General features: G+C 43.8%; 1 pseudogene across 1 annotated transcript; it reads left to right on the forward strand.

The window, feature by feature from the left end:
• Positions 1-1,538: 1,538 nt before the first annotated feature.
• NBPF22P (NBPF member 22, pseudogene) lies at positions 1,539-16,642 on the forward strand (annotated as a pseudogene). The gene is made up of 8 exons (NR_003719.2): positions 1,539-2,038; positions 3,924-3,975; positions 4,794-4,963; positions 5,992-6,043; positions 6,770-6,942; positions 9,922-10,158; positions 12,215-12,429; positions 15,362-16,642. The product of NR_003719.2 is annotated as an NBPF member 22, pseudogene (transcript).
• Positions 16,643-17,811: the final 1,169 nt, after the last annotated feature.

Here is a 17,811-nt window from a genome sequence, read left to right on the forward strand (position 1 = left end):
ATGTGTACAGTTTTGAACAAAATGCCTAGTATGAATTGGTCAATAAATAATTATGTGACTATTTACTGAATTACATGGATTCTATAAATAATTACTGAATAATTATTGTGATTCCTTTTATTGGCAGTGCTCAAAATGCATCCCTGTGTGACCTCAAGTAAACCAGTAACTTTGTGAACCTACAGTTTTATCATTTTTAAAATGAAGAAACTAGACAGATTTTCATTCTGACACAGAATATCAGGTCTCTGAGACACCAGAGAATAGATAAATTTATAGCCTTTACTACTTCTCAAAGCACTGTCATTATACAGTGTTGGTGGAGGATGGTGCGGGATGCTGAGAGGTGCACTTTCCACTGGGATTGATCCAGTCCTCCTCCTTCACTTCCACATGAATGCTGCGTAGCCCGTGGTCACACTCATCACACCCTCAACTCAGGCAAGTCCAGCAGCCACACTTAGGAGACCTGGGCTACAGGACAATCTCCCAAGTCCTAGCCTCACAAAACCTAGTTGAAGATGGAAGCTGCGAAAGTGAGGAGGTGGTTTGAGGGAGCACGCTCCCCTACTCATCCCTCTCATCTCAAACTCACCTTCTACTGCACAGGAACACTGAGGATCACCAACCACCCCTGACCATGAGCTTGATCTTGCCAGGTTTTGTTAGTGGAATGCAACCACACATCAACAGTGTTAGAGCAACTCAATATATATATATCTCCAACAATATTCCCTGAGAAGCGTTCAATGCCCTGTTCTTTTCAATATACGGGAAAACTAAAAACAACAAAATACCATCAGGTTTACAAGATTTCCCAAGATACATGGTCACACATGTTTTCAGGGGATATATACAAATGATTTTGATCACTTGATACCTTGAAAAGAGCTATTTTGGGACCAGAATGATATTCGTAAGTGACAAGTATGAAATGAGTGTTCAGTGACATTAAAAAAGCAAACCAACCCACACATAGAGGAAGAGCTTTGGACGTAGGGATGTGAAACTGGTCTTAAGTGTAATGAAAAGCCAAGATGCTGCCCCAGTAAGAGAAAAGAAATCAACATAACAATGGGATGCAGCAAGAATACTGAGACAGGGTAGAAAATATTTTTTAAAAGTGAATTATTCCTTCATTTTCAGTCGATACAGAAAAAACTGCAGAAGACCCAGAGGGATATCATAGCAGACTAAAAGTTTTCTATCTTTCACTTGTGGAAAAGCATTAAGATCATTTTACCTTAAAAAGAAGGTGAGGTGACTTCATGACTACCACTAAGAAAATATAACCTTCTGGAAAACTATCCCTACCTTGATGATTTTATACACACAAGAGATGAACAATGAGGAATATGCTTATATGTATTGAGAAAGAGGTGGGCCTGTAGCATTGTCACAAGGGTGCACAAATACTGAGAGTGACTGCTGAAGAAATGGTCCCCATCAGTGACCCTCAGGTGAGACCAGGGGGCCTAGTGTTTCAGCACAGCCTGGGCAATTGGAATGCAAGGATCCTAAGATTCCATGACACCCCCACCTTCTAATTCTGTTATTGCAACTGCAGACCGTTACCTGGCATGCTGGCTGCTACCTCGCTCACTCTTGTCAGAGTCGGAGCTACAGTCAGTGCCTTCAGCTCTGAGCTCAGGCATACCGGTCCCTGTTTTTGCAGTTAAGGACTCTAAAGTGTTGTGACGTGTTCATCAAGTTTTTCTCAACCATAAGTTAACAATTCCAGTAATTGTCATCTCTCAGTCCTGATTAAACCTAATTGATTTCACTAGTTTTTGACCCATCATGTGTTTGGGTTTCTTCTCCCCAGTCCCTGGCTCTACCTCTTCTGCCACAAACGTCAGCATGGTGGTATCTGCCGACCCTTTGTCCAGCGAGAGGGCAGAGATGAACATCCTAGAAATCAACCAGGAATTGCGCTCCCAGCTGGCAGAGAGCAATCAGCAGTTCCGAGACCTCAAAGAGAAATTCCTTATATCTCAAGCTACTGCCTACTCCCTGGCCAACCAGCTGAAGAAATACAGTAAGTTCTATAGATTCACAATGATGAATGTGATGAATGATCACCTGTGTTCTGAGAAACTGAACGGTCTTTTCATCGAAATTAATTTCATCCTTCCCATACTTCTAGGAAAATAGAAGTGGATGTTTTAACCTCATTTTGTTAAACATGGAAAACAGAGGCACAAAGTATTTAGCAACTTTTCCACATTGGCAGTCTGGTGTGAGGTGGGACTAGAGTTAAAATCCTACTTATTGTCTTCTGACACAGGCACAGAACCACCTGTTTTCCTTAGTAAGAGGCTAAATCATGTTTATGAGAATCCTCTCTGTACCATGTAAGATTCTACAGACAAGTAACATCTAGTCTGTTGGTCTAAATGTCTGGGACTAATGAACTTCCATTCAGTTCAAGCTTCTTTGAGGCCCAATAGGCAAAGCTCCATCCAGGGGACCCTGGGGGAAAAATGGCAACTGTACAGAGTACCCACTCTAAGGAGCTTAAAGAGGAGACTGCTCCTAACAGAAACTGTGATATCTGTGACACCCTTCAAAGCAGGGAGTGTCCCGGTGAGAGGGAAGTGCTGCTTCCTGGGGCACAGGCTCTTATTCCTGAAGAGGAAGAAAGATGGCACATAAGACATTGTGGAGGTAGCAGTGTAGTGTGCAGAGCAAGGACCCTGGGCCAGTCTCCTGGGCTCCATCCAAGTTGCCTATCTTCTCTGTGCCTCAGTTTCCTCATCTGCTCATTGAGTACTATAATAATACCTACCTCTGTAAATTACTGCAATGAATTACATGACCTATTTCTTGTAAATTTCCTAGAACAGTTCTTGGAACAGAGTAAACACTATCTATTAGCTCTTCATTCTACTATTTCTAACTTAATTCAAACTTTATTAGTATTTGGGCATATTTCTATTACAGCCTCACGGTCTTGTGCCTCATATTTTATGCAATCATATCCAGATATGATTTTTTAAATGTTTGACATATTTGCACTTGAAATTCCCAGTACAAGGGAAACTTTGGGTCCCATAGTCCTAGGGCCTTCCTGACTGTATAGAAAATCACTACTTCATGCACCAGTCCAGTGTTTTACAGGAGAGGCTGCAAGGCTTGGGAAAGTGGCCCAGGATTCAGAGTCAGACCTCAGGTGCTGTGAATTCTGACTCCACCTTCTTCCAGGTGAATCATCTTGTCAAGTTACTTGATGTGCCCTTGCGTTTCTTTCTCCCTATCCCTGAGTTGGGGAGTATCAGATGCCAGAAAGTTGGGAGGTTGATAAATAAAGATGTGGAAATGCCTGCCTGGAGCCTGGTACTGGAGCTGCTTTCGTCCTTGGGATGGATGGTGCCGCCTGCCCTATAGGCAGTGACCCCAGCAGCATGTCCCACCTTCCACTGAGGCAGGCGTGTCTGTCTTTTCTCAGAGTGTGAAGAGTACAAAGAGTACAAAGACATCATAGACTCTGCCAATGTTTCCATGTAGCATTAGAGATTCTTTTGATTTAATCTGTCCCTCTAAATGCAAATTCTACAAAAACACTGACAACAGCTTATCAGAAGGAAACATGCTGAATACTGCAGTAACCTGCTAGGAAGCATTAAAGTAGATCCCCAGGATCTGTTAGTAAACAGGATATGGTTAACAGTTTGCTGTGACTCAAGACAGAAGGGACTGTGATGATGACCTGTCAGATCAGGGAGATTTGCTCCATGACTCAGGAAAGCAAACCTAGTGACTTCTCACAAGGCTCACCCTGAGACCTCCTGGAAAGTTTCTCTCACAATAGCCTGTTATCGCACTGCGTATATCTATGCCCCTATGTAGATTTGGACACAAGGTTGTGCATATGTGAATGTGATCAAGTTCATCTGGCTGGTCTTCTCTTAATTTATTTACAGAAAAGCAAAATGATCTTGAAGAGGTGAAAGGACAAGAAACAGTTGCTCCCAGGTAACTGAGAAAAATCAGGGGCTGTCTATTCAGGGGTGATATCTGTGAAACTCATCTCCACAGAAAACCAGAAAGTCCTGAATATACCTGATTCATCCCTTCAGCCAACCGGAAATGATCCTTTTTAACCATGTTTTACATTTTCATTGTGAAACTTTTAATGTTTGCCATTTCTTATTAACTTCTCAAGTTCAGTACATAAAACCACTTGACCTTGTGAACAACTAATCAGTCACACAGATTTCCTTAAAGTAAGTATCTTCTTCTTATGGTGTCAACCAGCCTGAGATGCATATCTGCTTTCTGCTGGTTTTGCATTAGCACAGTGGTGAGCATTTCAAGGCAAGGAAATTAGGTAGAAAAAATTATTGTTATACCATGCACAATATTAAGAGGATTTGATGACATGCGATTTTGGGGATATGATTATGCCTCAAAACCTATGTTTACTTGGCCACTACACATAAAATTTAACATCATTTAAAAGAAAGGAATGAAACCACTGCTATGGGACATGATATTCAGTAAGTCACGACTCTACCATACAGAGAGACTCAGTCTCCTTCCTCAGAAAATCATAATCTGGCTACTTTGCTGAACACCTGATGCTTCTCTCTCTCTCATCTCTCTCTTTCCCTCTCTCTGTATTGCAACCTACCCATGGCAACCACACTGTGCCCACCAAGAAGAGGAGAATATTTAACTCTTTAATGGGTTGACCCATTTGTTTTCTGCGATCACTCCCTCATGCCTCACGTGAAATCCAGCTAGGGCTCTGAAACTCCTTGGATTAATCTTTAGTCCTTCTTACCCTACAGGCTCAGCAGGGGACCACTGAGAGTAGACAAGTATGAAATCCCCCAGGAGTCACTGGATGGATGTTGCTTGACTCCTTCCATCCTTCCTGACCTGACTCCCTCCTACCACCCTTATTGGAGCACTTTGTACTCTTTTGAAGACAAGCAAGTCAGCTTGGCTCTTGTAGACAGTGAGTACTCCATTGTGAACATGATAAATCTCCAATTGGTGTCCCAGGTAGACTCCATAATCCTTGCACTTCACATCCCTGGCTGGACTGAGATGTGTCATTGGTGTGGTCATGACTCACAGACACAGGATGATTTGCATCAGCATCAAAAATCAAGTTGGAAGCACAGACAGGGGTGGGTCAGTGAGCTTTGCTCTCTTCCTCATCTCAGACCATGCCTGTGTCACCGTGCGCCCACTGTCACGACATTGACAAATTCACACCAACCTATGCAGCACGTGCCCAACAGGTGTCTGTCAGGCCTCTTAATCTGAATAAGATTTGTCTTGCCAGCTATTGTGTTCCTTACAAGTTCCTTTCCCCAACCATGTCCTATGAGATTCTATGCCTGCCCAATGCCTGTGGCATTTTTGTCTACTTTTCATTGAAGATATTACCCAGGTTTCAAAGAACCCAGCCTCATTCTCTATGTCTTTGATGTTACCCTGTTTTAGCTGAGTAGTCCATTACCTTTTGTTATGTTTCTAGAAACAAGATTGGGCCTTGTCACTCCTAGATGTCACGAATAGCCAATGCCTCTTTGTATCACCAAAGATTCATTTTCATTCAAGGGTCTGTAGATTCCCTCCTACATTCTAGTTTCAGTGTCTAAAATCCTTGTAACCACGAGCAACGTGAGTATTTGATGATTGAAAGCTGAATATTGCAGTTTTCCTTCTAGAAAGCAGCTGGGGTATTTGCCTTCAACTGGTGTGAAAAATTTGCATAACTGTTTGCACAAAATCAGGACAGATGATGTTGGGATAATGATCTACCAGAACAGGGAGATTGCATTCCTAGGCTCAGGGAAGAAAACCAAGGCATCTCTGTCATGACAGGACCTCAGGCCTCCTGGAATATTTCTCTCACAGTGTCCTGTTCTCCCACTGAGGAAACTGACATTTCTATGTTAGGGTTGCACAGTGGATTGTTTATGTGTGTAGGAGAACCTGCTTAATCTGTCTGTCCCTTTGTGAATTTATTTATAGAAATTAAAAAGGATCAAGAGGAGGTAGAAGACCAAAGCCCACCATGCCCCAGGTAACTCTGAGGAATCATGGACAGTTAATTCAGTGTTGATATCTGGAGTCTCAGATGCAGGGAAAATCAGAGTGTGCTGAATATACCTGTTCCATCTGTTCAGCCAACCATGAAATGCCATATTCATAAGGTTGACTCTTTTCATTGTACACCTGTATTTCTAGTTCCTCCTTATTAATTCCTTTCGTCTAATCTGCATTCAGTTGACTCTGTTGAACTGATCACTCACAGACATTTTCTGCAGTCCCCTTTTCTGTCCTTTTTGCTTAAAGTGAAGTTGAGTTGCACATCTGATGTCTGCCTCTTTGGCATTACCATGTTTGCAAGTATTCGATAGCAGGGAAGTGAATGAAAATAAATCATGCCATGCTACAATGTTGAGAACAAGAGCTGTTGAGGATACAGGAACTCTGTGAAGACTCAAGAGCCTGTATTCATTTGGCCACTGATGCTAATTTCAACAAAATGTATGCAAAAGTGCCAAATGCACTGTGTCCTGGCAGTTCCCCACAGGGATCACTCCCTCTGCTTCCTCCCCAGCTCATTGCCTGCCCAGTGCACTGAGAGCCTGTCATGCTCTGTCTCCTACTCGAGACAGGGAAGGATGGTTGTATCTCTCTCAGGGGAATGTACTTTGCTTCCTCTGGGCCTTCCTAAGGGCCTCCCTATAGAACCAGCTGGGTGTTGGTTCTCTCTGGTGTTTATCTTCTGTCTTCTTTACCCCAGGCTCAGCCAGGAGCTGCCAGAGGTGAAGGAGCAGGAAGTCCCAGAGGACTCCGTGAATGAAGTTTACTTGACTCCCTCAGTTCACCATGATGTGTCTGACTGCCACCAGCCTTATAGCAGCACCTTGTCCTCATTGGAGGATCAGCTTGCCTGCTCTGCTCTGGATGTAGCCTGTGAGTACTTCACCCTGGAGGTCACAAAGCTCCACTGTCCTCCCAGGCAGCCTCTGTATGTTTTGTTTCCTGCAACTTGTGCAGCTGAGACAGACCATCTCTGCAGCAGGCTCTATACACTGAGCTTGTTTTGAATCTGGCTCTTGGATCCAGTTTTAAGCACAGACATCCACTGGGTAGAACTTCCTCTTCTCCTGTTCCAAGTGCCTCCTCTGTCACCTGGCTCCTTCTCACAGGAGCAGGCTTTGGCTATCAAAACAGGCCAGAGAAGGGAGTGGTGAGGGCTTATGGCAAATTCTTGGCCACAGTAGCTCAGCTGGAGAAATTTATGTAACAGACCTCCTTCTTTAAGATAGGGCATCTCTCTTTTCTGAAATTATCTTGCTAATTCCATGTCTTTATTTTTTCTCTGGCCATCCACATATGTTGGGAGTTTTGAGCAATTATTTGGAGGCCTGTTTCATGATTCCTGTGTCCCAAGCTAGATTTTCTTCTTCAGGGATCCCCAGCCCTGGGGCCATGGGCCATTATGGGTCCATGACCTGTTAGGAACTGGGCCGCAGAGCAGGAGGTGAGCGGTGGGAGAGCATTTCAGCCTGGATTCCACCTCCTGTCAGATCAGCAGTGGCATTAGATTCTCACAGGAGCTCGAACTCTATTGTGAATTGTCCATGCCAGCAATCTAGATTGTGTTTTCCTTACGAGAATCTAATGCCTGATGATCTGTCACTGTCTCCCAGTAACTGTCACCCCCAGGTGAGACCATCTAGTTGCAGGAAAACAATCTTAGGGCTCCCACTGATTCTACATTATGGTGAGTTGTATAATTATTTCATTATATATTCCAATATAATATTTATAGAAATGAAGTGCACAGTAAATGTAATGTGCTTGAATCATCCCAAAACCATCCCCACCAACCTGGTGTCTGAAAAATGGTCTTCCATGAAACCAGTCCCTGGTGCCAAAAAGGTTTGGGACTGTGGCTCTACTTCCTCTGGGGTGTCTTCCCTCCACTGACGCAGTCCAGCGACCCTTCCTTTATGTGTGGCCAGGCTTGCATCCTCTGCAGAGCTCCAGTGGTTTTCTCCATGTGTGGGTTTGTAGTGTCAATCAAGTTTTGGTCTCAGTGCTCTATTCTCATGAAAACCATCGACAACTAGTGTCCCTCATGAGGCTCTGGCCTAACCAATGAGCAAAGCAGAGTGGTTCCTGTCCCCATGATGTCCAGAAAACCCTTCTTCTGAACAATCGCCCCTTGAGATAGAAGCTTCACAGGATGTGTAAAAAGAAAATCCAATTTTCATTTCTTCTTGCTCATTCTCTTTTTTTTTTACTTCAATTCTGGGAATTTCATGTGGATTGTTGGGGGTTTTACCCATTATATTATCTTCTAGTAAGAGCAAGTAACTCTGTGAGGTCCCCCAGTATATTGGATTATGTTGTAATGAGATTAGCAAAAATGCCAGGTGTGTTGACTCATGCCTGTAATTCCAGCACTTTGGGAGGCTAAGGAGGTGGATTGCATGAGCTCAGGAGTTTGAGACCAGTGTGGGTAACATGGTGAAACCGTATCTGTAAAAAAAAAATTAGCAGAGTATGGGGGTACACACCTGTAGTCCCAGCTTTTTGGGAGGCTGAGGTGGAAGGATCACCTGAGCCTGGTTAGTTAAGGCTGCAGTGAGCCACGATTGCACCACTGCACTCCAGCCTGAGCAACAAAGTGAGACCCTGTGTCACACACACATAAAGAAAGAAACTAGCAACAAAAATGTTGGCCTCTATTCTATTTTGGTCAGTAAGTGCCTTTCATACTGGGACCAGCCCCTTTCCCATTTTGCATTTCTCCCTGAGTTTCAAAAAAGCAAATGCCTTTCTAGCATCACAGTGATTCATGAAACAATTAAAATACACACTGACCTTGCACCTGCTGTAGGCCCTGCCCCTTTGCAAGCAAGCTCTGTCCTGCTATAAACCATTCAGGGATCAAGGGACACTCCCAAGTGGGCAGTGGCATCTCCATGTTGGAGCTGAGAACAATGAGGCATTTTTAAGAAAACTTAGAAAACCTTGGAGAGAATGAAGATGTGGAGAGGGGAGGAGAGAGAGGAGCCCCACAGCAACGTGGATCCGGTCTGCAGGCCCCGTCCCCACCCTGAGCCCGACCTGGACTGGCGTGAGGTCATTGGAAGTCTTTTCTTAGTCCACTCAGAATGTGTATTCCTCTCCCTGTGGAAATGGAAATAATTTGTTTAAGGGGTGCCACCCGAACCCCACTGGAGGAGTGCGTAATGTGAGGATCATGTCCTGTGTTGCCTTCCTAAGGAACCGCACGTGCTGATCTGTAGCACTTGTGGCCCCTGAATTTGCAGGAAGGGACTGGTCCCTCTCCTACATTGCCTATGTCTGCTGACACCCACTATATGGCAAGAGGATGGATATGTGTGGGTAGGGGGTCAAACCATTATAGTCAATGGGAAATTCAAAATGTCCCCGAACCCAGAAAAGTTTGCCTCACTTAGTGTTTGGTCTGTAGCATCCCAGCCCCCTTTTTCGTGGTTCTTTCTCAAAGCCTCGCAGCTCTAACTCTTGACCCGTTCTTACACCCCTGTGTGTGGAGAAAAATAACCACTCCTCTCCTGTGCTCTGAGGCCTCTCTAGAACTTTCCCTCTGGGCACAGGAAAGAGATGAATAATAACAGAATAATCGGGATGGTCTTGTTAGACAATCCAAAGCCCTCTGGGCTGAAGCAGAGGTTTTTCACCTCAGGGACACCCCAGCCTGGGCCCCTACCGTGTCAGCGTCCCCAGGCACAGGCAGGAGAGGTGATGTTGCCTGCATTTACATGATGTCTGTCTGTGTGGTGTGGGTCACTGGGTGGCTTTACTGAGAGCAGGGACATCAGGGATGGGTGTTCCGGGATTACTTAACAAAGGGAAAACTGAGATTGTTCCTACTGAAGCCCCTTCTCCTTTCAGCCCCCACCGAGGCGGCCTGTCCCCAAGGGACTTGGAGTGGAGACTTGAGCCACCACCGGTCAGAGGTTCAAATTTCACAGGCACAGCTGGAACCAAGCACCCTGGTGCCCAATTGTCTGCGACTACAGCTGGATCAAGGGTTCCACTGTGGGAACGGCTTGCCCCAGCGGGGCCTTTCCTCCATGACCTGCAGCTTCTCAGCCAATGCTGATTCTGGGAACCAATGGCCCTTCCAAGGTAGGGAAGGAAACGGCGTCATGAAGCTCTAATCCAGGTGTTGGTGGTCACGACGGTGCTGTGGATGGAGGAGAGAATGGGGCGTCCCATGCTTCCTCAGGGTCAAGTTGAAATCCATGGTGCTCCAACCCAGTGAGGTGAGCAAAGGCCTTGGAGCTTAGGACCAAATCTGCTCTCAGGACCTGGGTTTGCCACTTTCTGCTTGTTGACTTTGGCCAAGGTTTTTGTCTTTTTGCTATTTATATCTCTGTTCCCTCATCTAAGATACCTGAAGAATAATATCTACCTGCAATCATAATTTCCAAAGGGTCTGATTCCATAAGAATTGCCCAATAAACCTATGAGTAGGTGTTATCTAATCCTTTTATCTTTCTGCTAAATTTACACTTAGCAAGTGACTTCACGGACGATGTCTCCTCTGAGGTAGAGCAGTTATGAAGATCTCTGCTTTCTAGGGCCCCTCTTCCTTTCCTTTCTCACACAGACTCTTCTGCCAGTTTTCTTCCTCTCCTTCCCCATCCCTCATGAAGCCAATTTTCCCCTGTCAGGCACTTTCAATAACAACCTATGAGGCACATTGAGTAACAGTGTAAATCCTGGGCCCACACTCAGTCTCCTGACATGTCCAGCTTCTTCTGCTGTTTTTACTGCTTTTTTTGAAATAAAAGGGCAACTTTCACATGGAAAGTGTTCACATCAGTCTCTTTTATGAAATTCCATTTAGTTCACATTCTCCACTCATGTCCGTGGCCATGTCCTCAGTTTCCGTCTCACAGGCATCCATTTCTGCTCAGATTATCTTAAAATCCTGGGTCGTGTTCATTCTCACTCTCCATCCCACTCAGTATCTCCTCCTGGAGCCCCTGGGGCTGCCTGGTGCTCATCTGTCAGGCGATGCCCTCAGCTGAGGAATGAGGGAACCCCTGTCCTCAGGGGGAGGGAGGGTTGCGTGAGATAATGAGCACCATCTGGGCCAGTGGAGAGGACATATGGAAGGTGCTCAGGGAGTGTCGGGGGATGCGCAGTCCCTGACATGTGCCATGATAACTTATTTAGACTGATTTCTTAGCACTGAACTCTCTTTTGCTTCTCTGTGGATTCTCACACCCCCAGCCAAGACTCACCCCACTGGCTCAGACACACTCCCTCTTGCTCACTTTCCCTGGAGTCCAGAGCCTGAACCAGGCTCCAGGTAAGAGGACAGAGTGAACGCCTTTCGTTTCATTAACACTTTCCTTCACCTGGTGATTTCTCCCTGCTGTCTACCAGGTCATTTGTTTCTCCCATACTTATTCTTTCTCATTCTTCTCATGTCTCCAATTATTTTTCCAATTTCGATGGACCAGAATAGTGACTCTACTGTTACATTCAATCCCTCCCAAATCCCTATATTTTTTTTCTTTAAATTAATGTGTACAGATATATGCACATATATATATCTGTATATGTATATATATATGTATAATTTGTCCTATTATGTGTGACTATGTATATCTGGTGTGTATGCTATATAGGGTGTATATATATATATGCAGTAGATCATATAATGATGCAACTTTTGTAAATTCTCTAGGTTTAGTCTTCCTGGTTCTTTTCTCTCATCAGTTGCTGTCACCTATGTCTGGTCTCACCTCTGTGCCACATGGGCTGCCACCCTGCCAGGCCCTTCCATTCCCATCTCCTGTTTGAACCCAGTTCTGATTTAACTTTGATTTTGTAATCTCTTCTCTCCCCAAAGCATAGCCTACATACAGTGTTATTTCCTTACCTTTGCCTTATCTACCTGGAAGCTATTTGTGTTTCTGAATCCTATGTTTCTTGAAAATTTTTGTGAATTGGCAGTGCCTTTGGCTCCTGGCAATCTTGTCGTTACTGAGTAATGTAGGAAAGATCAACAAAAAAGAAAGTATTAAAGTGACTCTATCGGCTTCCCCTCGCCCTTTGGACTTTCTTGTCCAAGGCCACTTTCCTGATTTGATGTCCTCTGGGTGGAAGAGAAAGTTACGGTAAGATCATGGATGGCAGCGGATCCCATTGGCTGTGGTTTTCTTTTCAGAGCTGGTTTTAGAGCCCTCTCTGGGGATGAAGAACCCTCCCCAGCTGGAAGATGATGCACTTGAAGGCTCAGCAAGCAACACACAAGGGCGTCAAGTCACTGGCCGGATTCATGCCTCCCTTGTCCTGATACTGAAGATCATCAAAAGAAGACTCCCGTTCAGCAAGTGGAGACTGGCATTCAGATTCGCTGGCCCGCATGCTTAGAGTGCAGAGGTAATCACATCTATGGCTGATAGCTGCACTCACTTATTTCTCTGTCTATGGTGACAGCTCATTCTCTCACTGCTTTTTCTCTCCCATTTGTTCTCTCCAACAGCTGCTCTAACCTCTGTCTGGTCTTAGCTCTGTGTCCCATGGGCTCCCACCCTGACTGGCCCTTTCTGTACCCATCTCCTCTTTACTCTCTGAACTCTGCTCTATTCCCTTTTCTACTGTCTTGAGAGTCCCTCTCATGGCCACAGGAGAGCCAGGCCTCCTTGTCCCCATCCAAGTGCATAGTTTAAGCTGCTGAACACAGGGTTGTTTGCCCGGAATCACACACTCCTTTGGGAAATTTACCTTTCCTTGCTGCATCCCCAACTCCATTGCCTCTTTTTGCAGAAATCATTGCTTTAATACATCATTTACACAAAGATTTTCCTCTTGAGTCTTCTTTTGAGCAACACAACTAATTCAACTCTTAATCATCACTTGTTCCTCTGAATGAGAAGTGTTAAAACTAAGCACTAAGAGCCCCCCTAGGAAACTAAACTAGAACCAGGGTCACAGGTGGGAGTTCCCTACTGGCCTGGAGTCAGGTTTGTCTTTAGCCCCAGATGTGCAGCCTAGTGCCAACGTGGATGGAGTTGCCAGGGTCTCAGTGTTCTCACCTCATGGACTCACTTGAGCTGATGTTAACTGGGGAACATTTATGACATTCTAAAGGGACATCACTCCAAAAGTACATGCAGAGGGCAGGACTTGAAAACTGCATACATCATGAGGTACATCATTCTAACCTCTCTCCTTTTTATTCTCATTTCCACTTTTCAAGTCCAGTTAAGGGTCTAAAATGCAAGTCAGATGAATCTTGAGGCCATTGTATATGAGAGAACATTTTATGAATTAACTTTGAGAAAAGTGACTCCAGGACCAGCTTTATGCATACACTAGATGACAAGAATCTGTCTACAGGACAGTCTTTGCTTTGGTGCAGCCCAATTGATAAGACAGAGATTTAACTGAAATTGTCAGAGAGAAGGCTAAAATCCATGGAACCACTGGGAACAAAGCCAGTCATGAGATAAATGGGGAAAGGAAAGAAAATGATGGGAAATTGGGCTGGTCCATTTAGTATCTCTAAATCCTGCTGCCATGTAATAAGCACCTGGTGAGATTTCAATTAAGATGAATGCCTTCAACTTACACTTAGAGATTCTCACTTACATGGCCTGGGGTGTGGTCTGAGCATCTGTAGTTTCAAAATGCTCCCGTGTGATTCTAATATGTGGCTAAAGATGAGAAGGACCCCTGGTCTACTATGACCTCAGGTTACCAACACGGAAGTGCCACATATGTGTGGCTACTCCATAGAAAAGGCTGAGCCTCTATCAGACTTTGATGGGATCTGTAGTCCCCTCTCAATAGTACTCTTCGTATAGCATAGAAAAAAGTCAAGAAGAAAAACAAGAAAATTAATAGATTAGACTTTTAGCCTCTGCTTGAAGCACACTTGCTGAATTTTGAATACAAGATAAGTAAGAAATAGTCATGATATTAACACCTAATGTATGGAAATAATACCTGCCATATTACATATAGTGGAATTTAGTATTTTCTTTTTGCATTTTAAAATAAAACTTCCAGTTTACATTTCCCCACACCCATTTTATAGCCTACCAATGGTCTCACCACTGCAATGTGAAAATTTTACTTTTGGTCAGTTATTGTCCTTCTGCAAAATCCCTAAAGAGAACTCATTGGTCCCCCTGTCCTGAAGAGCATACAATAACAAATTAAGACTGAAATGCTGCAAGAGATTGTATATGAATACTTCTTCATGCCTCTCTTCACACTGGCATAAAATATTAAAAAGAAACCTTTCTCATAATGTACTTGGGGAAAACAATAAGTGGGACGGGAGACTGTAGTAAAACACAAACTAATCCTTTCCACTTTGTACTTCAGAGTTTTCTTGGTCTAGATATTGAGAATATTTCTAGAAATGCCTTAAGGTGGAACCGGATGTGGAATCAACTTCAGGGCATTAGGGAAAATAAGTTGGGCCATGGTTACAGTCCCTGTTCTCCCTCACTTTGCTAACTCCATTTTGAGTCTCTTTTTTTAAACTCCCTTTCTTTCCTGATGACCTTTGGACAAAAACTTATAATTATATATATTTTTTATGTTTTTAACCAACCAAAGAAACAGCAGCAACATCACATTTATCTGTAAAACCTTATTTCTGTCCTAGCCAAGGTGACCCAACCACCACTCATGACTGTTGAGACCTCCAGATTGGAGCCTTTCCTCTTGCTTTCTCCAATCTTTATTGAAAGGCCTTAGTGAGTGGATTCTAATTCCTGGGTTGTCAATAGCAAGTCATGTGGCCTTAGTTCAATCTTACCCCTGTGGCGTCACTACTCCTCTGTTGTAAAATGTGGACCTGGACGTGGATGTTGTCTGAGGTTTCTGCTGCTTCTCATATCCAGGGTTCTTCCCATGGCCCTCCCACTCCTCCCTAGAAGACTAGGACATGGAGTTGTAAGGGGGTGGGTTTCTCTGCAGAGGCTCCTGTCCTTCTGCTCCCCTCTGTTTCTTGGCATGCATGATTGATGCTGAGTACATGCTCACTGGGAGGAAAAGCCATCACTCTGCTCCAGACAGAGGGGATCAGGAGGAAAGGGGATGATGTTGCCCACTGCTGGTTGGGCATAGGTGGGGTCCTTATATCCTGCACCCCAGGCTGACTGGAAGTTCAGGAGTGTTTTCTTCTCACTTGTGGATGGTGCTTCCCCCTTCCGACAGCCCAGGACTCACCCTTCAGCTCAACCTCCCAGCAGGAGATCCCAGTGAGATATCACTGCTTAGCAATCCCTCCAGACTCAGCCATCAGGTGGACCTGACAAAAATGCTCATTTGATTTTTTTCTCTCTCTCCTCTACAGATACCAAATACTGCTGGAAGGATGCAAAGGATGATAGGATGAAAGAATGTCACAAAAAGCAGCTTTTCCACTTGATAAAAACAACTAAAACGCAAAGCAAGTTCAAGTCCCAACACAATACTGCAGGGGTCCTTCACTGAGGATTGAATTTCAGACACAGAATACTCTTGATGACTTCAAGCCACTATGCTCCTTTGATTTGAGAAGCCACATTCCATCCCCCTCCAATTGTGATCAATACCTAGGGAGACCAATGCCCAGATGGACAAATAGCATTGACAGGCGTTAGCCCTGTTTCTCAATTCCCATCATGTAGAGAACAGGAGTCCGCAGCTGCTGGCAGGACACAGCATGTCAGCCGGGACTCTGCCAGGGCAGAGTATGAGCAATGCCATGTTCTTGCTGAAAACGCTTAGCCTGAGTTTCATAGGAGGTAACCCTCAGATAACTGCAGAATGTAGAACATTGAACAGGACAACTGACCTGTCTCCTTCAAACAGTCCATGTCACCACCAAGAACACAACAAAAAGGAGAAGAGACATTTTGAGTTCAAAAAGAGTAAAAAGCCTATGCAGCTTATGCTTTTTTAGTCATTTTGAACCCAAAACATCTCCTCATCTTTTTGTTGTTGTCATTGATGGTGGTGACATGGACTTGTTTGTAGAGGACAGGTCAGCTGTCTGGCTCAATGGTCTACATTCTGAAGTTATCTGAAAATGTCGTCATGATTAAATCCAGCCTAAACATTTTGCCAGGAACTCTGCAGCGTCCATGCTGTAGCTTCCTACCTCAGTCCATCTGCAGGCAGAGAAGGCCCAGTGTGTCCATCCCCAATGCGGTGATACTAGGATGGTCACTTGGTTAAGGAGGGGTCTAGGAGCTCTGTCCCTTGTAAAGACATCTTATTTGTAAGTAATTTGGAAAGTGGTGTGAAATAGTATAAATATCCTGTATTCTAATGATCTTCTTCAGAACATTTTATCACCAATTAATCACCCCGCCTGTGTCAGTTATTATATTTATGTTTGCACAATGAAAATTTTCTATCTCAAAATATTACCTTATACTTGCTTTTGCTGGCATTCTTCGTAAAAAAGATTATTCCCTGCCCAAATTTTAACTTTCATCCAAAATTAATTTTAATTTCTTTTTGCTGGCATTCTGTTGTGAAAAAGAATATTCTCTGCCCCAATTATCACTTTCATCCAAAATTAATTTTAGTCCATCAGTTAAAATTTTAAGTTTTAAATCTGTTTAATTAAAACATTTCTTGCCTCTCACTCTGGACTATTGGATTTTTTACATATAATGTTTTAAGCTTTCATTATTATGATTGATTTTGGTGGATAAGAATTTAGATTAATAAAAACATTCTTATTTCCTTGTTTATATTCAAAACTCTTCCATGTTCTAGTCTATGTTTACCGTATGTGGTAGATTGTATTTCCTGTATTTCTTTGTTGATGTTATTTGTTTTCTTTTTGTGTTTGTGTAAGTGTGTGTGCTTTTTGTTTGTTATTTAGGAAGAGTTGTATAGCTCCCATTTAACATTGCACTGAAAAGGTTTTAACGTCACTAATCCCCTTTTAACTTGACACATTTCTACTGTTTGGTTTATACATTTTAAATTATTTCTTTGAATGTCAAATTTTTACCACTATGACAATCAAAGACATCATTTTCCTCTTCTCTAACCTCATTACCTACCATTTCTTATTTTTTATTTTAACCCAAACATAAAGTGACAGCCTATGTGACACCTTGGTTTTTGGTTGAGATCTACATTTAAATATGTTGATGCACATGAGCTGTTCAAAAGTGTGTCCTAAGCATCACTTGTTGAGTGGAATTTATCCTTAACAGAGTCCTCATGAGGGAATCAGATCTCGCTGAGTTTTACATACTTAATCATAAACTTTTCCCAATGTCTTGATACATGGATTGCATCACTGGATATAAGGTACTTGCCAAAAATGACTTTTGCTTGGGATTTTAGGAAATATTGTCTGGCTTTGGGGGACAGGCCTGTGTGCTCGCAGTCTGGGATTCTATTTTGTTCAACCAGGACCTTTAATTTCTGCCAGTTACTTCATTCATTCTCTTCACCACAAGTCTCCAGAGGATGCTCCCTTTGTCCAGGCCCTCCCCGTCTCCCAGCGATTCTGCCCTTTGAAGATTGGCCCCTCTGGTCCTCTGCACTGTGAAGCCCCTGCCTTTCAATTCCCCAGTAGCAGGGTTCTGACCCACCAGGTCTCAGGCCTGATCTGTGTTTCTCCACACTCTCTTTCTGAGAAAGGTTTTACCTGTGTTTTGTCATTAACAGGCCCTCGCTGCTGTGCTGGCCTCTATTTGCATGGTGTTTCCTGCTCCCTGTGCTGTTATGTGGCTCCCAGACCTGGCTAAATAAAATCACTTGGGGTCCCCAGTGTTCCCTAGCCCTGGTTGGGGG

This window comes from Homo sapiens, chromosome 5, assembly GCF_000001405.40.
Source record: "Homo sapiens chromosome 5, GRCh38.p14 Primary Assembly".
NCBI lineage: Eukaryota > Metazoa > Chordata > Mammalia > Primates > Hominidae > Homo > Homo sapiens.